Below are 25,167 nucleotides of genomic sequence, written 5' to 3' on the forward strand. Positions count from 1 at the left end.
TCCCTTCCAACATGCTCTGTTTCCCATATTTCTTATCTCCAATCATTGTTATCACCATCCTCTAAGTTGTGCAGGTCAGAAAGGTAGGCACCATTCTTGATTCTTTCCTCTCCTTCAGCCTTGATGCCCAATCAGTTCCTGAGTTTTATACTTTCATAAGAATGTATGGATCCTTTCTGTTTTCTTCATTCCTGTTACTCTACTTCCATTGGTCCTTCCATCAATTTGGTCTTCTCCTTCTCTAATCCTCCATAAAGAAGCCAAGGTAATTTTCCTGAAGCACAGATCAGAATGGATCACTCCTAGTTTAAAACCTTTTAATGGCTCTTCATTATCCTGAGGATAAAGTCCAAAACCCTTAGAATGTTTCCCAAGCCCAACTTGACCTGGACTTCATTTGCCTCTCCAGCACACCCCTTGTGACTCTACGCCCCACTCCTTCCTCAATGTCAGCTGCAGTAATACTAGGAATGTAGCTGGGCACCCTTTGTTTCTGGGCTTTCAAACAAGCTATGTTCTTACACAAAATATTGCTTTTCTCTTCCACAACTACTATCATCTGCCTTTCCAATTTACTCACAGAGTATTCACCAGGTCCTCAATTTACTTGGGATTTCCACAATAAAGACGTCCTTGACTCATCCTGAAGTCTTTGGTGAGGGGTCAGTTACTGTGGTAGTAAGTGTTCCTTCTATTGTTGTTGCATGTTTACTTGTACATCTCACTCACATGTTGCAAATTCATTGGGAATAAAAATGGTATCTTTTTTATCATTAGATATATCCGCATCATGTAGCATGATACCTGGCACTCAATGAATATCTCTTGGAGGAATTAATTAATAATAGACATTTTATGTGTTCCTCTACAAAGTTTTGTTAAAAGGAAAGCAAAAACTGAACTAGTGTCACTAGACAAATCAGCCACAAGCCACATTAAACCTCCTTAATACCATTTGTACAGTACTTTGGTACTGTTCATACTGGACACTCTACTAAACACTATTTAGGCTAACTACAAGTGATGATAGCTAACATTTATTGAATCCATAATGTTGGTCAAGCACCATGTTAAATTATTTACAAATACGATCTTAATCTCATTTACTCAATCCAAAAGAATGGCAGTCATTCTTAATTTTTCTCTTTCCTTCACTCTGCTTCTAGCAAGTACTGTCAACTCTCCTTCAAAATATATTCAGAATTCATCCACTCCTTCACTTCTTTCCATTTCTTCTCTTATGACCCTGGTATAAACTACCATCGTTTCTTTTATTAGGTCAGGTTTATTAAGATATAGTTTACATACAGTAAAAATTTGTATGTTTAATTCTACAGTTTGATGACTTTTGATAAATGTGAACTGCTGCATAACCATCATCACAATGGAGATTCAGAACATTTCCATCATTTCAGAAAGCTTTCTCATGCCACTTTGTAGCCATTTCCCTCATCTCATTTCAGCCAGTGGCTATATCTGGTCTGTTCTCTGGTCCTGTAACAGTGCCATTTCAAGAATCTCATATAAATGGAATTTTGAAGCATGTATCCTTTTGTGACTAGCTTGTCACTCAGCATAAAAATCATGACATTTATCTATGTTGGTGCATGTAGCAGCAGTTTTTTTCCTTGCTATTGCTGAATAATATTATGTATTATGGATAAACCATAATTTGTTTATTTCTTTACCAATTAATAGATATTTGAATTGTTTTTAGTTTGGGGGTATTATGCAAAAAAGTTCTATAAACATTCTCATACAGATCTTTATATGGACAAATGTTTTTTCTCAATAAATATCTAGACATGGGAACATATGGTAGATGTATATTGAACTCTACAAGAAATCACTTAACTATTTTCCAAAGCCTCTGAACCATTTTTTATTTCCTCCAGGAATATATGCATGTTTTAGTTGCTCTGCATCTTTGTCAACACTTGGTATTTTCAGGGTGCAGAAAAACATTTATCTGAAAGGCATTTTAGTCCTTAAAATGTTAGTTAACATAGTAGAAATGTAAGACTAGCTCATTATGCTTTTAACTAGCGATAATAATGTTGAGAAATTTTTTGTGTCCTTATTTTGCTACCGGTATTTCTTCTCTTGTGAAGTATCTGTTCAAATCTTTTGTAAATTAAAAAAAATTGTGTTGTTTGTCTTCTCATTGAGTTGTAATTGTTCTTTATATATTCTGATGAATTCCTTTAAGAGGTGGTTGCTAACAGTCTATGGCTTATCTTTTTTTCCTATATTTCAAAGAGTAGTTTTTAATTTTGGTAAAGTTCAATGTATCAATTTTTTTATGACTCATACTTTTTGTTGTTGTTCTTGCCCTAAGAAATCTTTCACTAACCTAAGGTCACAAATATATTCTCATGTGTTTTCTCTTAGAAGTTTTATAGTTTTAGGTCTTCTGTATATGGTATGATATAATGCTAGAGGTTCATTTTTTTTGCATAAGAATGTATTCCTAGGCTATACCTCTTTCCACTATACAAGAATCTGATTTGTAAGAGCTGATAGATTTTTTAATATACACATTTGTTTATATTGTCCTGGCCCCCAAATTATTTGCTTTTATGGTAGGCATAGGCCAGGACTATCATACTGACTTCCTTCTAGACATTATGAGTAGCCCTAATTTTAGATATCACAGACTCGTCATCATCACCTGGATGCAATGTGCCATATCACTGTTCTATGACCAACAGACCCTGAAACAAGATGGTGCTGGTAACATCATAGGAAATTAGATCTAGAAGATGTGGTCTAGTCTCTTCTCTTGCATACTCATGGTGAGTGATACTGGCAATACCTTCACAACTTCCCCAATAGAAGGCAGCATCCATAGTCCTAGTATTGTTCTATGAAAAAGCTTCTCTTCATTTTGTAACATCCACTTTTATCAGAACTATAAGATACTAACTCACAAAAATGCATGACTTATTTTACATATATTTGCTGTTTCATTGTTTAAGATGTCAATGCAGATTTCACAATGGCATATAAAGAATGTAGCCTGATTTTTAGAGTTTTCAGAAAACTAGAAGTGAATTGCCCTTCTGGCTAGAAGAAGTCTGTTTGGGTTTCTCCTTCTGCCATCTTCCTATTCATGCTGCCTTTACTCCACATGGATTCTATAGATTTCATTTAAATTGCACCAACTTACAAAGACATATCTGCCCTAGAGATGTTTGAGTCTTTTAACATTCTAGTCACCACTAATGTTCCCTTTTCATTTAGGCTTTTAATTTGGATGAATTCCAAATTACTATTTATTCAGATAGAAACACTAGTAATTACACAAAGCATCTTAATAAAGAATGGAAACGCAATTCAGAGCATCCTCCTTGTGGTTTCTAATGCCTAATAGTTTTAAAATAGCACTAAGGAACTTTCTTTTATAGCTATTATCTAGTGCTGTTAAAACTCTTACTCCTTTTTATTTTTCTAATGTTGAACAAGCTTTAGATTGAAGGGCTTTATGGAGAGTTCTTGATCTCTCACATAGATTTTATCTTTGACCAACTAGGAATGTTTAAGGAAACATATTGGTCTGCCACTAATGTTTTAAAATAAGTCTCTAGAGTTATGCTAAAAACAGAGTATAGAAATTAAGGAATAAGCTTCATTTTCTTGATCCTGATACCCATCAGCATTTACTGGATCCTAATCTTTTGTTTCTTTGTTGATGTTACTATAGCAGATGGCATTGATGGCCCCGGCTCTTCCCCTCCTCAGGCCCACATCCTTTGCTATGCGATTTTGCAGTTTCCCTATCAAGATGTGAAGTGTTTTCCTTGCTTCTTGATTCTGAATTCAGGTGTCATTGGCTTTGGCCAATGGGATGTCAGAAAATGTGATGCAGCAGAGACTTGAAGATGCACTGCAGAGACTAGATTTATTCTTTTCTGCTGCAGCAATTGCCATGAAGTTGCAGTCCCAGCCTAGCCTGCTGGCCCCAGGATGAGGGTGAGAGACACTTGAAGTAGACCTACAATTACCCAGTCAAGACCAGCTTACATTATTTTGCCCACAGATAACATTCAAACAGATGAATGAACCCAGTGTAGATAAGCTGAACCTTACAAACACATGAAAGATAATTGTGTATCACTGAGGTGTGAGGGTTATTGTTACACAATCTCCAACCAAATTAAAAACTTTTTGGGAACAAGGCTTTTGCTTCACTCATTTATTAAATGCCTGGTGTCTAGCACTCAGTAGAGGCTTATTTAATCTTTATTGGATAGTTTCATGAATAAAGAAGTAATTGAAAATATTTTCTCTCTTTTTTTGTCATACTTAGATACCTTGCTAATAGCCTTAACTGAGAGCTTCTATGTGTAATAAAAAGGGCCATTCAATGAACGAATCTGTAATTAATCATCCTAGAGATGGTGGCCTATCTCTTTGTCCCAAGCTCTCTTGAAATAATTTCCACAGCCTCTCCTGATCCCCTGACTTGGTTAGTGTTTAACCATTCTTAATAGTAAGAACTTCTTCTGATAAAGATAAGTAGCCATCAAAGAATGATCTGCAGACCATAAATGAGCACTGACTAAAAAAACTTTTTACAACCTAGCTAAATACAGGTAGTAGTGTTTTGTCTCAAGTCAAGCTCTAGAGTAAATGGAAGAGTGAGCCATTTGTGTTTCCTTTTGAGCTCACCCCCTCCTGTCCTTCTCCCAAAATAAATACCCTTAAAATATGTACCCTTATCCTCTTCCCTATCAAATCCTATTCTTATAAAATAGTTCTGAAAGACAGCTAAATAAGTAATTACCAGTAGTATTGCCTCTCATTGGAAACTTGGATGTTAAGATTCCTTCATTTTTTCATTCATTCCATAATGCTGAGTGGCCACTCTGCCCAGCACCATGGGGAGTAATGGGGATGCAGTGGTGATAGATACAAACATAGTATGTTCTTTCATAGAGCTCATGATTTGGAGATCGGGGCAGGTTGGAAAACAGACACTGAACAAGAGTACTACCTGTTGGAAAGGAAAGCTAAAGAGAATGGTGGAGTGTATGGCAAGAGTTGCTAATCTAGTCTACATGGCAGGGAATTCCCCTGGGGAAATGCTGTTTACACTTGAAGAAGGAGTTGACTTTAGTCAAAAAAAACACATGGGAAAATCATTCCTGAAAGATGAACTGTGCATAGAAAGGTCCTGAAGAGGGGCGGATCATAGTTTGTTCCAGGAACCAAAGGAATCCAGCCTGGCTGAAAGGAAGAGAATAAGCCTCGATGATGTTATTTTGAATTCAGTTCAGACTTTTGTGTTTGTACCCAATATTGTACCCAATAGATAATTTGTGTTTTTTTTATCCTATTTGGGTGATGGTTTCAGTAGAAACATCACCATTATACATATATGTAACAAACCAGCATATTTACCTCCTGAATCTAAAATAAATAAAGTAACAAACTATTACTACTACTACTACTGGTAATAATAAATAGGCCAGAGTCTACTATTTTTTGGCAAGCCGTCATTGATTCTCCTTGTATGAAGAAAAGCACTGGGTCATACTAAGCAAGCCTAATAATCCTAAAATATTCTGTTTTAAGGCAATATACTTAATATGAAAATATCAAATAATTTTTAAACAACTTTAGCTCTAATTCATGTATCACAGTAATTCTTGGGAAGATGCTGGAATAAAATTACCATGAATGTTTTCTTAATAGACCACCCCCTTGACCAAATTGCTAAACTTGCCAACTCTGTCAAGTCTCCCTGCCCTATAGCACCCAGATGCTTGTGGAAATGGGCTATTCTTAAGGATAAACGCACACCTCTGCTGCCACTTACTCAGTTTTGTTGTTAACATGAATCAGTTGTGTTTATTCTCAAACTTATTTATGCTACTTATTTCTAATTTTGTAATTTAAAAAATTTAATTATCACATAAATAAGTTAAATGTAACTGTTTAAAAGCTATGATCTACATGAAAATCAAATTTAATGTTTTGGAAAGTACTGAAAATTACTTTAAAATCGCTTTCAGATAAACTACAGGTAAGGAAACAGAAAATATTGGGAAAAATCAGGAAAACCTAAATGGATTCTGCTTTGGATTGCTTTATTTATGGCTTTTAGTTCTTAATTCACATAAATAAAATAAAACAACTGGCGTTTATTGAGGATACGTTATGGATTTGTTTGTGTAAAATGTCAATGCTGATCTCCAGCCCCTGGCCCCATACCAAAGAAATGGCGTCGGCCCTACATTTGAAGTTTGGCAAATGAATAGGTATATAGCTTAAGTTAAACTAATATGTTATGATATGTGTGTATCTTTTTATTATTTCAGTTTTAACCTACTTCTTTGATTAAACAAGTAATTGTTGGTACCAATCTTATAAGAAGTCTTTTACTCTATAAAGAATGTGAGCATTCGTGCTCTAACATATAGGAAAGTTGTTACTACCCAAGTGTAGAGTGGGTACATCACTACCTCTAGCCCTGTTAGAATATGACTGAGATTATATATGGTAATGAAAGTTTTATATATATATATACCCAAAATATTTTTGTAATTTTTGGAGACAACAGAGAGAATGTTACAAAACAGGAATCTGGAATCATTTTCTTTTCTGGAAGGATGTATTATTTGCTCCTTTGATTTATTTCTTCTACAGAACAAAGACAGAAGCACATTTATTTCTGCTTAAAGCAACCTTCCTCTCAGTTTTGCTTTCAACCTAAAACTGCTCTACAAAAGAAAAGACTTTTTTTTATACTCAGAGTTTTTTTTCTGAGATTAACCCCTTTTTCAGAGGGGTTTCATGTTTATTTATTTATTTATTTATATATTTATTTATTTATTTATTTATTTTTGAGACGGAGTCTCGCTCTGTTGCCCAGGCTGGAGTGCAGTGGCGGGATCTCTGCTCACAGCAAGCTCTGCCTCCTGGGTTCATGCCATTCTCCTGCCTCAGCCTCCCGAGTAGCTGGGACTACAGGCGCCCACCACCACGCCTGGCTAATTTTTGTATTTTTAGTAGAGATGGAGTTTCATCGTGTTAGCCAGGATGGTCTCAATCTCCTGACCTTGTGATCCGCCCACCTCGGCCTCCCAAAGTGCTGGGATTACAGGCGTGAGCCACAGTGCCCAGCCTCGTGTTTTATTTTTTACTCTCTCTGATCATAATGGCAGGTGTAGCAAGAACAGGAAAATTCCAAACACTTCTGCTCCCTCTACACTCATTATCCTGGAGACCCTAACTGAGACAAGAAGAGTTTCCTTTCTGACTCAACCAGGCCTCTCTCACTAGCCAACTTTTATAGCCAAGAAAGGAGTATCAGCCAGGGGTGCTTGGAATTTAGGAACACCCTCTTGTGGAGCAAGACTTCCTGGTTCCTCACTGGAAGGTTGCACATAAGAGGCTGATAGCAGCCAGCAATAATAATATGTCTAGTTTCAGCTTTTCAACAAATGTAACTAAAGAACATATTGAGAAAAAGTAGCTTCCACTTCCAGTGGGTAACCAAGAGGAGCTCATAAAATCTGAGTTTCATTAAAGTAAGGTACCACTATGTACCTACTACAGTGACCCGAATCCAGAATACTAACAACAAATGCTGTGAGGATGTGGAGGAAGAAGAACTTCTGTTCATTGCTGCTGAGAATGCAAAATGGTACAGCCACTTTGGAAGACAGTTTGGTGGTTTCTTACAAAATTAAGAATCTTCTTCTCATAGAGTCCAGCAGTCAGGCTCCTTACTATTTACTCAAACTTATGCCCACACAAAAATCTGCACACAGATGTTTATAGCAGCTTTTTTCATAGTTGCCAAGATGTTCTTTCATAAGTGAATGCATAAATAGACTGTGATACCTCCAGATAATGAAAGAATCAATATCGTGAAAATGGCCATACTGCCCAAGGTAATTTACAGATTCAATGCCATCCCCATCAAGCTACCAATGACTTTCTTCACAGAATTGGAAAAAACTACTTCAAAGTTCATATGGAATCAAAAAAGAGCCCGCATCACCAAGTCAATCCTAAGTCAAAAGAACAAAGCTGGAGGCATCACACTACCTGACTTCAAACTATACTACAAGGCTACAGTAACCAAAACAGCATGGTACTGGTACCAAAACAGAGATATAGATCAATGGAACAGAACAGAGCCCTCAGGAATAACACCTCATATCTACAACTATCTGATCTTTGACAAACCTGAGAAAAACAAGCAATGGGGAAAGGATTCCCTATTTAATAAATGGTGCTGGGAAAACTGGCTAGCCATATGTAGAAAGCTGAAACTGGATCCCTTCCTTACACCTTACACAAAAATCAATTCCAGATGGATTAAAGACTTAAACGTTAGACCTAAAACCATAAAAACCATAGAAGAAAACCTAGGCTTTACCATTCAGGACATAGGCATGGGCAAGGACTTCATGTCCAAAACACCAAAAGCAATGGCAACAAAAGCCAAAATTGACAAATGGGATCTAATTAAACTAAAGAGCTTCTGCACAGCAAAAGAAACTACCATCAGAGTGAACAGGCAATGTACAAAATGGGAGAAAATTTTCGCAACCTACTCATCTGACAAAGGGCTAATATCCAGAATCTACAATGAACTCAAACAAATTTACAAGAAAAAAACAAACAACCCCATCAAAAAGTGGGTGAAGGACATGAACAGACACTTCTCAAAAGAAGACATTTATGCAGCCAAAAAACACAAGAAAAAATGCTCACCATCACTGGCCATCAGAGAAATGCAAATCAACACCACAGTGAGATACCATCTCACACCAGTTAGAATGGCAATCATTAAAAAGTCAGGAAACAACAGGTGCTGGAGAGGATGTGGAGAAATAGGAACACTTTTACACTGTTGGTGGGACTGTAAACTAGTTCAACCATTGTGGAAGTCAGTGTGGAGATTCCTCAGGGATCTAGAACTAGAAATACCATTTGACCCAGCCATCCCATTACTGGATATATACCCAAAGGACTATAAATCATGCTGCTATAAAGACACATGCACACGTATGTTTATTGCGGCACTATTCACAATAGCAAAGACTTGGAACCAACCCAAATGTCCATCAATGATAGACTGGATTAAGAAAATGTGGCACATATATACCATGGAATACTATGCAGCCATAAAAAATGATGAGTTCATGTCCTTTGTAGGGACATGGATGAAATTGGAAATCATCATTCTCAGTAAACTATCGCAAGAACAAAAAACCAAACACCGCATATTCTCACTCATAGGTGGGAATTGAACTATGAGAACACATGGACACAGGAAGGGGAACATCACACTCTGGGGCCTGTTGTGGGGTGGGGGGAGGGGGGAGGGATAGCATTGGGAGATATACCTAATGCTAGATGACGAGTTAATGGGTGCAGCACACCAGCATGGCACATGTATACATATGTAACTAACCTGCACATTGTGCACATGGACCCTAAAACTTAAAGTATTAAAAAAAAAAAAAAAAAACTAAAGTAGAAAGAATACTGGAAAATAAAATTTAAAAAAAAACAGAAAAAGATAATGAAAGAATACTCAGCACTAAAAAGAAATGAGCTATCAAACCACGAAAAGACATGGAAGAGCCTTACACGATTTTCATTAACTGAAAGAAGGAAATCTGAAAAGGCTACATATCTGCCAGTGAGGAATACGTGTATGACTCCAGCAGTCTGACGTTCTGGAAAAAGCAAATCTATGGAGATGATAAAAAAGATCAGTGGTTACCAAAACTTGGGGGTTGGGGAAGGAATAGGATGAGCATAGAGGATTTATCAGACCATGGCAATACTCTGTATGAAGTATAATGATGGATACATGTCATTCTTATACATTTGTCTAAACATGCATCCTGTGTGACTGTGCACATTTAAAATATGGACTTTAGGTGATAATGATGTGTCAGTGTATTTTCATCAATTGTAACAAACATACCACTCTGGTGGGGGATGTTGATAATGGGGGAGGCTATGCATGGGTGGGGACAGGGAGTATGTGACAAATTTCTGTACCTTCCTCTCAGTTTTGCTTTCAACCTAAAACTGCTCTACAAAAAAAAAAAAAAAAAAAAGACTTTTTTTTATACTCAGAGTTTTTTTTTTTCTGAGATTAAGTTGGTTCCAGTGATGTGCATTTACTAACTTCCCCTTTTCTCATTTATTTAGAAATAATATACAACAAGATGTACCTCAAGAATCCATAGAAATGGAGCAAATGAACAAATAATCAAGGGCTACTCCTGTCATTATAATTTTGTGGCTGACCTGGAAGTTATCTTGGTGTAGCTCTGTGACTATTTATATAACCTACTCCTAGCTTCTCTCATTCTCAGGGTCTCTATTCTTAACCACAACTATTTAAACAATATATTTATTGGCAATTCTAGATGACAGATGGACATGTGCTAAGATGATCAGTGTGCACATCTGATTTTTCTAAATAGCCCACAGTAAGTGAATAAGTGAATGTTCAGAAAATATCTGCCATGCTAAATTTAAGGTTCTCGTGCATATTTTATTTAGCATTACAAATTGACTAACAAAATTAAGTAGGGAAAATATATATCAGATCCATGATGTTTTGTGAATAATTGACTAGCCACACAGGTGCATAAGATTTCAGATGAAAATTCCTTCTTTTGTGTGGAATATGTACTATTAAAAGATTATAGGGGGAAATTCCATGGATTCCTTGTCATCCTTTAGAATAACAAGATTTTGTGCATAGTTTATTAAATAGCCACCAGTTTTCTAAATTTTTTGCCATTGTTATAATTTTACCTATATCACACTTATTCTAAGAAAATAAAATTTTATCACTTATTCTGACAATCATTATGCTTAAACAAAACTGCCTCTATTTTCTTCTGTTCTGGGGAACAGGTTGCTGCTTAAGCATAGCACTCTATCCTTGCTTTCCTATAGCACTCTGCACTTTCACCTTGTAGCACTTGACACAATTATAATGGTATAATGACTCCTATAATGATTCATTTTATATTTGTCACCACCACTCAATTATAAACGATATGCAGTCAAGGTTCATGGCAGAAGTTTTTTAACTCATGCTATGGCCTCAGCCCAAAGTAGATAATCAATGAATATTTTTTTTTAAATTAAAGAATGGATAGACAGAAGAGAGTGGGGAATCCTATATCTTCCTCTACTCTTTGCCTTAGCTTTTCTAGGACTGCTGTGAGTAGTTGGGGCTAAAAGGAGGCAGAGGGGACTCAGGCAGCAAGCTCCTCTGCCACCAAAACCTCTGCTCAATCTGTGCTCAGTCCCTCCCACTTTGGCTCTGGGTGTCAAATATCCTGCCATTGTGGACATAAACAGATGAGAATATGATTACTGTGAGACCAGCAAAAGTTTTAGTGCGCTGACAAAAATAATAATAATAATAATAATTGCTTACACACATGGTCAAGGTCACTCTCACACCACACACCAACATTTAGGTAGCACACACTCAGCCCCTTTTGTAGACAGAATTTATTGTGGACAACTATACTACTATGAGTATATCCTTAACCTTTTGAAGTTGACCTCAGGGAGGAGAACCAGGAGGATAATTTACACAATTCTCTTTAGTGTAACTATCAGAAATAGAACATAAGATAGCTGGAATACAATTCTAGCAGTGTTTTATATTTTACTGTTTTATTCTGATTATTTAACATAAATAACTCGCCACATACAGTACAGCTTAAAATAAATCATTAGAACTATATATGTAACATACTAAGTCTAGGTGGGCCCAGTGATGAAGCAGATACAGGGGCTTCAACAGACAAGGTGAAAATAGATTAAAATGAGCATTAACCACTATTTAAGGAAATGTATGTCAAAAATCAGGTTGTAATAATAAAAATAATATTAAATAGTCATGATGACAGTAATCAAATCTGATGATGGAATGTGGACTCAAAAATACCTAAAGATTAAAAAATTCAGGCCAGGCATGGTGGCTCATGCCTGTAATCCCAGTACTTTGGGAGGCTGTGGAGCTCAAGACCAGCCTGGGCAACATGGCGAAACTCCACCTCAACACAAACAACAAAAATTAACCAGTGATGGTGGCATGTGCCTGTCGTCCCAGCTACTCAGGAGGCTGAGGTGGGCGAATCGCTTGAGGCTGGAAGGCGGAGGTTGCAGTGAGCCGTGAGCCGAGATGGAGCCACTGCACTCAAGTCTGGGCAACAGAGCAGGACCCTGTCCAAATAAATAAATTAATTAAATAAATAAATAAATAAATAAATAAATAAAAATCAAGCAAGAAAATTCCTAATGGGATGGAAATGCTAAATGTTAAATAATAAAGAAAATTGCATATTATGACTTGGTGATTCAAATATTATAATGAAATAATTTATAAGAGATAGTAGAAGAATAAGAAAGTATGTGTTGCTAGTTAAAGTCAATCAGTCAAAAAATATTTTGGTCTTTTTCATCTATACCAACCCTGCAATAACCTTTTAAATGACTTTCCCATTTCTGATTTCTTTGCTAGTCCATCAGGCTCCTTTCTTGACTCTGTGTTTAAGTCATTTTCTCCGTTTCACATGTTCATAAATTTTAAGGCCCAGTTGAATGCTAACTATTTTCCATGAGGTCTTCTCTGATCACTAGCTATTAGTAATGTCTCCCTCCACCAAACTGCCATAGAACTTTTTCAGCACCTCTCTTATTTATGACTCTTTGAACTTTCTACTTTGTAGTTTAGTGACTAATGTACATTTTTTTAAGTTCCTTATTTGTTCATAAACTTTGGAGAGTGCAATTTCTCTTTGACGGCATACACCACACAGTTTATTATACTATTCAGTACACAGCAGGTGCTCAACTGGTAAATGTAGACAGTACACAATTTTCAAGAAAAGTTCTTATACATGAGATTCCAGAGAGCCTCCACACTTCTCTTTTCTCCCCAAGTTTCCTTCCCTGCTTTTCTAAACTTGGCTCTGAGTCCCCATTCAAGACTTAGCTCCTTAGTGGAGCTTCCCCTGACCCCCACATTCAAAGTTGTCTCTTCCCTGACAAAAACTCATCTATTCAACATCTAAAAGGTTTGAGTCTTCATGTGCTACCTTGTGGTAGGTCACCATTTTTATGTTTATCAACTATTACCTGCCTCCCATTCAAGATTGTAAACTTTTTGAGAGCAGAGATCACATTTTATACATTTTGGTACTTACTGTCATTTAGTACTATTTATATATTTAGTAGTTATTGTCAGTCTCAGAACAGTGCTCCACGTCTATTGATTCTATTTTGTTCCCGAGATATCCTAAATATCTAGAACACTATCTGGCACACAGTAGGTGGTCAGTAAGTATTTGTTGAATGAGGTTGATAGATGATTAGTAAAACTTCTCAAAATTTTGAGTGAAAAGTTGACTCTTTGGCAGAAACTTCCAGGAGTTGATTTTAGAGCTAAGAAAAAATAGAAAGCAATGTCCACTCTTGGTAGAGCTAGGCAAAAACAGGCAGATGAAGTAGACACAGGTGTCTTCTCCACAATCCCCATTTCACTTTATCTTAGGCATGTCTCCTTCAGGAGCCACAGCCAGATCAGAGAGGCCTCCACTTGGAAATGATCCATCTCAGTGGTGTGGATGGATTAGACCATTTCTCCCACAACTAAGTGGTTTTTCTCTGGCCATTCTGAGGTATATGCCATGTGTCTCCTTCAGAAATATCCTTTTTCATGTGATGATTTCCAAAATATATTTTAGTCACTTCACTTTGTGTTTAAGTGAATAACTATGTCTCCATTCACTTATCATTAATAAACATATAATAATTCACCTAATCATGGAGGTGTTGGTTAAGCCAGCATATTTTGAGTTCATGTAGCCAAATACAGTGGTATTTAGTCACATGAAAGTTTAGCTTAGAACACAAATATGTGCTTTTTTTTTTCTGTTGGAGCTCTTATCTTGCAACATCCTTCCTTCTTTTCTTCTTTCCTTCCCTCCTACCCTCTTTCCTCCCCGCTTCTCACCCTCCCTCCACTAGTATCTACTGAAGCCCTTCTATGCAAAGCACAATACTACTTGCTGAAGATATAATGAGGAACAAGTCAGAAGTGTCTCTTCCTGTTCTACTAGAATTTACACTCTTAGAAGAGATGCAGACATTCAATTACTATTTTTTACTATTTTAATTCCAACTATTACAAAAGTTGGACAGATAAAGAGGGACAGATAACTATGGGAGCTTAAAGGAATCTATCCTGGTTTGGTGGGAAAGGGATGATAGATTTCAGTAGTCTGGAAAGGGTCACCTGAAAAAATGGTGTTAAGACTGAGTCATGAAGAGCTAGTAGGAAGGGAGGGTGGGAGGAAGGAGAGAGAGAGTGGGGAGTATTCCAGGTAGAAGAAAGCAAATGTGTGGCCTTGAGTGGTCACTTCTCTTTGGCTTATCGTATATATCTATGAGCTAATGAGAATGAAAATTCCTTTTTTTTCAAATTGTTAGGTTAGCTTAAAGAGATATTGACTCATTAAATACAAAACACAAGAAGACATTAATATAAAATTGTATACATTTTTTAAAGCCTATATTTTCTCCCTTGAATTAAAAATAAAGTGCAGCATGTTGAAATGTTGAACCCTGGCCATATGACAAAATTGGAAGTCTCTCTTTGCTTACACCTTGGGGCAGAGGCAGGCATCAGACAAAGTCCTTTTTATTTTGTATCCTTAAGAGTATTTCAAGGTCAAGTTAAATGAAAAACTAGTCATTGGCTCTGTTAGATTTTCAAATATATCCTCAATAAAATGTACACTATTAATCATTTTCATATTGGTGATTTTAATCAACTTTTAAACCATTACTTTTTAGAAAAGTTTTTCACAATTTCTGGTTTCTAGGGTAATTGAAATTTCAGTATATAATTATAGTAGTATAAATATGATACTTAAAAGTATTATTAAAGGTCATTAAAATATTTTAAAAAAACTGGTAGGGCAAGAAGACTTTACTACAAGTTAATGAAATGGGGGTAATTTAGTTGAAAAGAAACAAAATGATTACAAATTAAAGATTACTATTCTGTGGCACTCTTTCTTTAGTTGACAGTGAATAAGGTAGAGTTACTATATTTTTATTCATATTATGATTTGGCCCCTTTCTAGAAAAGTGAAAATTTTATGTAACTCTGATACATGGAATATATTTTGAAATTAAGAAGTATATGTACATATATTAGTCATTATTATTACTGCAACTATTCCTAGTGAAAAATATACCTCATTCAAAGAGAAAGATAAATTTCAACAACTGTTATATATGCACACTTTTTGCCCATAAAACTAAGCAAGCCTAATAAATTAAAATTTATCTAAGTCACAACCATCCAATTAGGGACACTTTCTTGCAATCAGATTACAAAGGATATTTTTATCTCTTTCAATTTAGCAGTCAGGTTAGGGCTCCCTAATAGAAGGCTGCGTAGCTCATTAGTCCTACCACTTTGGATGGCCTTTACTCTTAACTTCATTCTCCGTAACTCAAGGGGAGTCAGTGTGTAACTGTGGGTGCAGAGCAGCAATGAGGATGCTTGAGTCTTCATTCTGAAGGGATCACCTGTGGAAAGAATGATCAGCTTTCAGAAAATCTCATCTGGTTAAGTCATATTTCTCTGCTTTAAAATGTTACAGGATTTCTCATTGCCCTTAGCACAGTTTCTCAAACTTTATTGAACATCAGAATTACTTGAAGGGTTTTCGAACTCATGAATTATTCGGCCTTGCCCCAGAGTTTCTAATTCAGTAGGTCTTGGGTGGGGAACATACTTTGAGAATTCTGACCTATAGGATAAACACTAGAGTTCTTATTATGTCTTACAAGGCCCATCATGATCTGAAGGCAGCGGTGGTTGCTGGTGGAGGATGTGAGCTTTGGAACTGGAGCTCTTTGATTCAAAGCTCTGCCGCTTACTCACTGGATAAGACCATGATCAAGTTATTTCATCTGAAAAATTGAGGTAATAATAATATCTCCCTCTTAGGGTGGTTATGAATATTTTATGAGATAGTACTTTTTAAAATAGGTAGATTCCAGAAGAATATCAGCTATTAGGATTATGATTACCTCTCCGGTTTCTTCTCTTGGTTGGATGTCCTAGTGCCAACCATACCAGACTACTTCAGACCATAGTAACATCACGGTTTTCCATCCTTGAAGCTTCAAATGTTCAGTTTTCTCAATATAGTTTCTACCCTTTTCCTACATCTTTCCCACCTTCATCTAGCTAACTCCTACTGAGACTGGAGAGCTCAGCTTTTACGTCACCATTCCAGGAAAGCCAACCTAGCCATGGTTGTATGTACTTTGCCATTAAAACACTGATGTCCACGTACATGTTTGTATCTGTCTTCTCTACTGGACTACAAACTCAGGAGGGTAAGAATGATCTGTTCACTGGTACAGTCTCCATGCCAAATAGTTGCTTAATAGGTATCTGCTGAGTACATGAATGAATCATCATTCATGCTGTCTGTGGGATTCTGGTCTGGGCTCACAAAAAAAAAAAAAATGAAAGTTTAGTATAGAACACTGGAGTGGAGAGATCTCTGCCCCTTCACTGGAAAAATATGCCAAGACTGGAACTGAATGACAATAGATACCTAGCACCTTTTGCGAAGTTATGAATATCAGAGGCATATGACATACAATATGTCTAGTCACATTATGTTAATACAGGGATTTTAATTTCTTTTATATTTAGATATGTCATTCTACTACTTAAATCTTTAAAAATACTAAAGCTAAGAAGAGCTCTGGGAAGGAAACACAACATAATAGTTTCTTTAGCAGCTTGGTATGGCTATTTTGTCTAATCAGCAGCACAGTGGTTACAAGTATAGATTCAAGGACACAATACTGCTTGTATAACTTACTTGCTGATGACTTTGGCTAAGGTTCTTAGTTTTCTGAGACCAGATTATTTTCCTGGTAAAATGGGCAGAATAGTAATTATCAATTAGTATTATTACAATTGAAATTAAGTACACAAAGCTCTTAGGCACTTATTCCTAAGAAGCAATCCTGATATATTTTAGCTATTCATTGTTTTATGATGTGGCCATTATAGTGTTCTTCTCATGGAGATTCAGTCAAAAACTAATCGTGTATATGTCTGCTTTGACTTGATTTTATAAAAGGAGAATGAATTTCAACATGTAATCAGAGTAGAAATGGAAATGATGAGCAAACAGGGTAAAAACCACTTCAGTGATGAAGTCTATAGTAAATCTCCATAAAACTGCTACTCGGAATTATTTGGGGATCTCTAAGTATAAAACACATAGAATCATGTAAACGAGTTTGATCAGTGGTAAAGTTTGGCTGAGTTTGTCTTTACTGAACTAGAGTAACATTTGTTTCCATATTTACCTATGGAGCAGGGTGCTGGGTTTTGGCACAAGACAATCACCAGTCTTACATTAGCTTTCTGCTATGATCCTTTTGTATGGCATCAGATAGTCAGATGGGTCAGATGACTTCCACATATTTTGCAGGGTAAATTTCAAGGATGCTGGAACAATTGGGAACACTTTCTGGGCATCTCCAACTCATTTTTCTACAAGTTGTGCTAGGAGGCTTTCTTTCCACACATCATCATTATTAAACCTCCTGCTTCAGATGACAATTGCCCATTTCAGTGGTTTGTCTCCCCCACAGATTGTCAGGTCCTTGAGGACGTCAACTATGTGTTATTCATCGGGTAGTGTCAGTGCTTGGTACAGTGGCTGGACCAGAATAGGGGTTCCATTGTTGAACTGAACTTCAGTTGAGCTGAACTGAATGTTCTTTCACTTTTTAAGATTAATAAAGTATAAGCTACTAGGGTAATATCCAAGTGGTCTCCAAGAAAGTCAGAACTTGACAGTGAACCATTACAACCACAAGGTAGGAAATCCTAACACCAGCAATCAAAAAAGGATCAAATACAAGTTTAGAGTTTGGAGCAGTTTGGGTTATTGGTTTCTCTAGGGAGAAGTGATTTGACATTTTCTTCCCCCATCCCTGAACCCACACTGTTTTAGTAGAGAGCACCAAATTGAAAAAACTAACAAACTTTTAAGAATCAGAATATATAAATCAACTGTTACTGTCAAATTCATGGATAGAGAATATAGTGTACACGTAGCCTAAATTAGTGATGTTCTTGAGGCTGTTCAATGATTTAAGAGGGCAAAACTTTGACAAGATGGGGTTCCAAATAATCACATATTTAAAATGGCATTAAGATAGAAGTAATTCTTTTTCCTTAATATTAGTCATCTAATAGTTTTGGCAGAGAAGTCTTGACAAATTCTTTAAATTTCAAGAATTGGACCTCTGCTCAGAAGGGAACCTGAAATTGCATGACATGAACCCAGCCACCACAATTATTTCTTCAGAAGATTTAGAAGCTCTTCACTGAAACTTAGCACAAAGTAATAGCTCTAATAGCAGAAATCTGAGATCCAAAGAACAGTTCACTATTTCAGCTTCTCACTTCTTGAGCTTTGAGGAAAACAAGCCCTTTATTCATTTTGGATTAATAAGAGGAACCTAACCATAAGTGATTTCAGTTTTCTCTGTAAGTTGTAGTCATTGTGAATTCCCTTCTGTAGATCACAAACGGGGCTGACTTTCAAGTTAAAGTGACTTCTCTTTAAAATAAATTAATTAAAATTCTATCACTGTATACCTCTCTGAGTTCTCTCCTCCCTCCAAATACATTCTATACACAAACTCAAATAGATTAATATTTTATTTCTAATTAAAAATAACTGCAAAACAATGTCACAGAATGTCACAGTGGACATACATCAACAATGTATTTCAACTTGAACTCTAGGGAAGAAAGATCTCAAATTATTTGCATGAATATTCAATAAGCCTATGAATCTTTCAGTCACAGTTAATGTTCAGAAAGGAGAATAGGTATTCACAAATCAAAAAATTAGCAAATAAAATGAAATTCTGTGTTACTGTCAAAGCCACAAAATGCGTTATTCTTTCTGGCTATGTATCTACATTACCTATATATCTAACTGGAAAAGTTAAAGAATGCAGTTTAATTGTTTTGCCATATAATACTGAGCAATTTTAGAAATGAACAATTTTAGAAATTTCCCTTTACTGTAGAGACAAAAGTTTCTAGTAACTTAAACACATTCAATATTGTATAAAGACTCAGTGTAGGAGAATCTTTTCTAGGAAGGATTTTTTTTTCCAAAACTATTTCTGAAGAAAGTGATTATTTATGCCCAGTGATAATACAAAAACAGCTTTTAGCACTTGTTTTGGGAGAAATAAAAGTTTTTCTGCTTGTAGCTTAAAATATATATTTAACTTACAAATTTGGAATAGTATATGAAATGCCTAGAATACCATCATTAAAAATAAGAAAACAATGGATTTTCAATAAATGAAACAGAAATCATAGGAGATCGACATTTTAGATATTGCAACCTCAAGGGTTGCTTTGGTTTACAAAGTACCATTAAACTTACTTCTCTTTGATAGATCTTTCTAAATAAAGGATGGGTAGATTTGGGTTTTATGGTCTTTGATCTTGATGTAGACAACAAAGCTACTTGGAAAAAGCTCCAGAAAAAACAGTAGCATATTTTTTGGAAGGAACTGAAAAGATCTCCAAAGGAAGTTGAAAGCAAACTATATTCTTAAATCCAGTTTATATGACATTCTGTGCAAACTGACATTGAAACTCAGTTAAAATACCAAGATTTTGCACATCAGATCCTCAGATTTACTCATCTTATAACTGAAACTTTGTTCCCTTGACCAACATTTCCCCATTTCCCCCACCCTCAGCCCCCTGGCAGCCACAGTAGTATTCTCTGGTTTAAAGAGTTTGATGTGTTTAGATTCAAAATATGAGTGAAATGATGCAGTATTTGTCTCTCTGTTTCTGGCTTATTTCACTTAGCATAATGTCCTCCAGTTTCACCTATGTGGTTACTAATGGGAGAATTTTCTTATTTTTATGGCTAAATAATATTCCATTATATATACCACATTTTTTATCCATGGTGACTATAATTAACAATACTATGTTGTTTACTTGAAATTTGATAAGAGAGCAGATTTTAAATGTCCTCACCTCCCACCATACACAAATGGTAACTATGGGTGGTAATGAATGTGTTGATTAATTTTATTGTGGTTATTGTTATACCATATACATCTATCATTATATTTTATACCTTGAATAGACAGAATTTTTATTTTTTAGTTAAATATTTAAGATAAGCACAAAAGAAGGAAAGAGAATCCCTTTGGAAGGAAAAACAAAGCCATGATTTTATTAAAGAAAATTTGGATGCTGATCTATTTTATAGGCTGTCCATTCTACCCATGTTTCTGAAATTTGTATAGTAAAACACAGAAATGAAAACAGTTTGGAATGAAAGTACCCATGAAGACTATATCAAGAGTAGACCAGTGACCCTTACAAGGATTCACAAAAGGTTTATGTTCAATCAACAAAAACTGTGGCTTTATTCACTCTTGTTCTCACTAATGTGAAATTTTTTCCAAAGACTGGAATGCTTTGCAGGCTGTAGCTTGTTAGAGAACATAAGTTGTGGATCAAATTCTCTCATTTAGAACACTTCTGTTTTAATTCAATGGGAGCCGTCTCAAAGTAAATGGTGTTCCTAATGAAAGATGGTGCATCTGTACAAAATAACTTAGACTTTCATATGTAGTTATTGGCCCACTAAAAATTTTTTTGTCCTGAGGGCAGTTTGTCTGTGTTGGGTGTTTTATTCTCCTATACTTATGAGCATAATGATTTAGAATTTCAGAAGAGAATGTCAAGTTGGAATATCCTAAAGAATTTAAACAAAGGAATAAGTACAGGGTGGCATCAAAGCTTAAACAATAGTAGGGTTTTTTTTTAATTTGATTGTAAAAGATGTTTTAAGTCTTTGAGTAATATCTGTGCCAGACTGAAATAGAAAATGGCAAAAGGTCAAATCCATGTATCTGCATGAACCACTTGGGTTTATTCACACACAAGGTATGAAGTGGAAGAAATATTGCCTCTTCAAAAAGGGCTGCTATGCATATCAGTTTATAGAAAGGGCAACATGAAATCGCTCATAGGGGTTTAGAAAGGCAGCTATATACAGGGTTTTTTTAAGAGGCAAAATGTTTTATCATTTTACTTAAGAATTATTGTCTAGTTGGGGTCAGTTTGCATAGTTGCAATCATGTCAAACAAAGACCTTCCCCCATGGATTTGCATTCCATGGTCAAGAACTGACAAAATGGAATATAAACCACAGACAATTGGTTTGGTTTGGAGGATGGGGAGAGGGAGAGGTGAGCAGAAGGGATACTATTGTTAAAAAAAAAAATGGACTTCTTTTCTTAAGGGAGTGGGTGTCTCACTATTAGATGTTCTCATACTACTAGGTGGGGATAATAATTCGTTATTATTATTATTATTATTATTATTATTATATTTTGATATTTTGAAAAGGTATTTGGTAAGCAACCTTAATTCCTGAAATTTCTCTACCGAGTCTATTGTTTTGGAAGTTATTTTGGCCAAATCACTTTTTAGGTCTAATGGTTTTCCATCTGATTTCCTGGGGGATAGACAGTCCCTGTGGGCTGGGGAGTCTAGGACTGGGGAGTAGCTGTGGCTTCTGTGCAAGAACAGAGAATTTCCATGGTGTGAAGAAAGTAGTGTGAGGGGCAACAGCCTTTTCTGTATCAAAGAAAGGAATTATACTACTATATTAGTCAGAAGAGGCAGAATGATTCAAACTATATGCTTTTAATCATTTTAACTGGCAGCAGTCAAAACTTCAAATAAAATAAACCTTAAGAATACTGCTATAACAACAGATTTAAATGACCTTGAAGTTTTTTTTAAAATTCTAATTTATCATGAACAAACCCATACTGAGTTCATATGCAATGTATTAATCATCAACCATATAAAATAAGCTACATAATAAAATTAAATTAAATCTCAATTTATCAAACATTAAAATGCTAACAACTAGCAACTTTGTTAAGTCACAGTGTAAAGATGAAATGAATAAAACACTAGAATCACTATACCAAACAATGTAATTGAAGTTAAAATGCTGTTTTCTGTGGTTCTTTTTTAGAGAAAAATAACAAGTTGCTTACTTTAATGCAGTGACATTTTATTTTGTGATTAATTTTAAAATAACATTGTAAAAACTACAAACTCATTTTAATTTGACAAGCATTTGGTAATTAATTTTCAAACAATGCTGTGGGAACCCAGAAAGCACTCTTCCTTTGACATGTATTTTATAATTTATTTTAAAACAATGCTGCACAAATCTGCAAAGGCATAATTCATTTGGGAGTTCATTAATTATGCAAATGAGTTGCAATTAACAAATCTGTTCCAAGGATGGCATTTGCATAATAATGAACTTCATGTTTGTGACATTATTTAATAAGATACCTTTGTGCATTTTTAAGCCAAACACTCCTGTGAATATTGCATGATGAGATGAGGTTGAAAATGGACATCTAGTCAATGAGATTCAAAAGTGTATGCAGAAAAATGTTAAAATAAACAGAATTAAATATAATTCAAATAATAAATATGGATATTCTTTTTAGAGTACAGGGGTTTTGGTTAATCTCAGCTCCCCTAAATAGCGTCAGACTTTAATTAATTTACATTTATAAGGAGCAATGCACAAATTAGGCTAAAGTAAGATGAAACAAGCAAAACTATAAACTTCAATTTAATATTTCAAGTGAAGGTAGATCATACACTACATCCAAGTCCCAAAACATAAACTTTTAATTAATACAGAAAATACAACATTGAGTCAAAAGGCCCTTTATTTCTCAGTGTTATGACAGGATGACCACAAAACTTGGTTGACATTCATTTACTCAACCAATAACGATTTACTGAGCATCTATAATGGGGCCAAAACTGGGGTTAAGTTAGAGCAAATAAAAAGAAGAATAAGCTGTATTTCTACTTTGAAGTGGCATGAAGTCTAACGAAAAACACAGACATATTAGGTTGGTGCAAAAGTAATTACGGTTTATATAAACATTAAAATTCCAGGAAAGTTGTCTTGTAAGAGAGATAAATGCAGTGTTCTAGAAGTACAGAGGGCTAGAATAATTAGCCTGGTGGAATTAGAAACGTGTGTAAGAAAGGGACAAAATGTTTTGAAGGATAGGAAGGAGTTCACCAATGAGCAAGAAGGTAAAGAATATTCGAGAAAAGGAAACTGTATACACAGAGTCATGAAACAATGAGTGTTCAGGGTATGGGTTGGGGGATAAATGTTTTTGGAGCAAGACTGTCGGAAGTTTTAGAGATCCAATTTGAAGTTTTAAAAAGATGATTAGAAGAGTGCTATAAATAGATGGCTTGAAAGGGACAGAGCCACAGGTAAATTTCTTCTGCAGCTCATCAGTTACAGTGTCTTGATTGATTGGTGATGCATCTAGAGTATAAGATGAGATCAGATGAGTTTATGAGCCAAGTATTTGCTATCCTAAATCAATGTGATTCTATGATGACCATAAGATCTTGTGAGTCTGTCATGTTTTTCCGATTTGCTCTTTACTTGTGCTTTTAGCCTCTCTCATCACATCTCAGTTTGAAACCCAAGATCCCTTAAGCGTCACTCCATGCTCCAACTGCACTGACTTTCTGGAGCTAGAGGGGTTTTCCAAACCCAGTCTTGTCTATTGTCCACTCAACTGAAGTCTACTCAGCCTTCAAAACTACATCATCATTAATCTGTCACAGAAGTAGAGTAAAAACAAGCAAAACTATATCACCATGGCTTAAAAATAGAGGTACAGTAGTCCCCCTTTATCCACAGGGGATACATTCCAGGACACAATAGTAGATGCCTGAAATCACAAATAATACCAAACCTTATATATTTATATTTTTCCTATATATACATATCTATGATAAAGTTTAATTTATAAATTAGGCACAGTAGAGAATAACAATCATAATAAAATGTAACAATTATAACAAAATGATAGCATTATGATTCTTGAGTTGGGGGCCATTATTATGTACAATTAGTCACTTGAACACAAGCACTGTGATACTGAGACAGCTGATATGATAACCAAGGCAGCTACTAAGTGACTAAAGGGTAGGAAGTATCTACAGCATAAACACACTGGATAAACGGACAATTCATGTCCTGGGCAAGACGGAGTGGAACAGCATGAGATTTCCTCACACTACTTAGAATAGTGAACAATTTAAACTTTATAAACTGTTTATTTCTGCAATTTTTCATTTAATATTTTTGGACCACAGTTGACTGCAGGTAACTGAAACTGCGGAAAGTGAAACTGCAGATAAGAGGGACCACTGTAAATAAGTGACATGAATGATACTGCAAAGGACCATAGCCTAACCAGCCAAGCAAACTGGAAGTACCTTTAGACTCACGCTTTGCCAAGCTCAGTTCCAGAATCACATGATGAAAAGAATGATGGAAAGAAAATGTTTGTGATATTAAAATTAAGGAAATTACTCCAACTCAGAGGTAGGTTTTGTGTTTTGATTTATTTTGTTTTGTTTTTTTGTTTTTATTTTTAACATAAAAACACCATGTTCTTCAGCTGCAAGTTTATTTAATAAGATTTGTTATTTCTATTTCTTCGGTGTATCTTCCTGCTGAGAGGCAGAAGTCTTGTCATCTATCCCACAAAAGCAAAAATACAGACGGGGGCATTTATTGCTTCTTAGCCATCCAGCAGCCATTCTCCATTCTTATCAGTATGCTATTTCCTTTGGGGAAATATCTTTTCCCCATTGTGTGCAGTGCTGGTGGGGTTATAAGCTAGGTGGTTTCTCTCCCATTCTTTTCTATAGATTGCATTAGACCTAGAACTAAATCCAGTCAATTACTCTCTCTTCCCCAGCTTTGAATCTTGACAGAGTGTTGCAAAGACAGAAGAAATGGTAAAGTTTCATTTCCTTATTTTTGGCAACTGGAAGACAAATTGCCTACTTGTTCCAAACCTGGTTCACTAGCTATCCCTCAATTCCCATAAGCTTCCCTATTATTCTTCCATAAAGTTCCTTTTTTGCTGTCATTACTGAAGCAATACAGAATCACAAAATTC

General features: G+C 35.6%; 1 long non-coding RNA gene across 1 annotated transcript in view; it reads left to right on the forward strand.

Moving 5' to 3' along the window:
• Positions 1-25,167, forward strand: part of LINC01934 (long intergenic non-protein coding RNA 1934) — a 275,717-nt gene that overhangs the window by 214,498 nt on the left and 36,052 nt on the right. Inside the window, exon 4 of the long non-coding RNA NR_130784.1 lies at positions 24,353-24,584. This is a non-coding gene — a long non-coding RNA (long intergenic non-protein coding RNA 1934). The remainder of the gene's footprint in view (positions 1-24,352; positions 24,585-25,167) is intronic.

The sequence above is a fragment of the Homo sapiens genome, chromosome 2 (genome assembly GCF_000001405.40).
Source record: "Homo sapiens chromosome 2, GRCh38.p14 Primary Assembly".
NCBI classification, from domain to species: domain Eukaryota; kingdom Metazoa; phylum Chordata; class Mammalia; order Primates; family Hominidae; genus Homo; species Homo sapiens.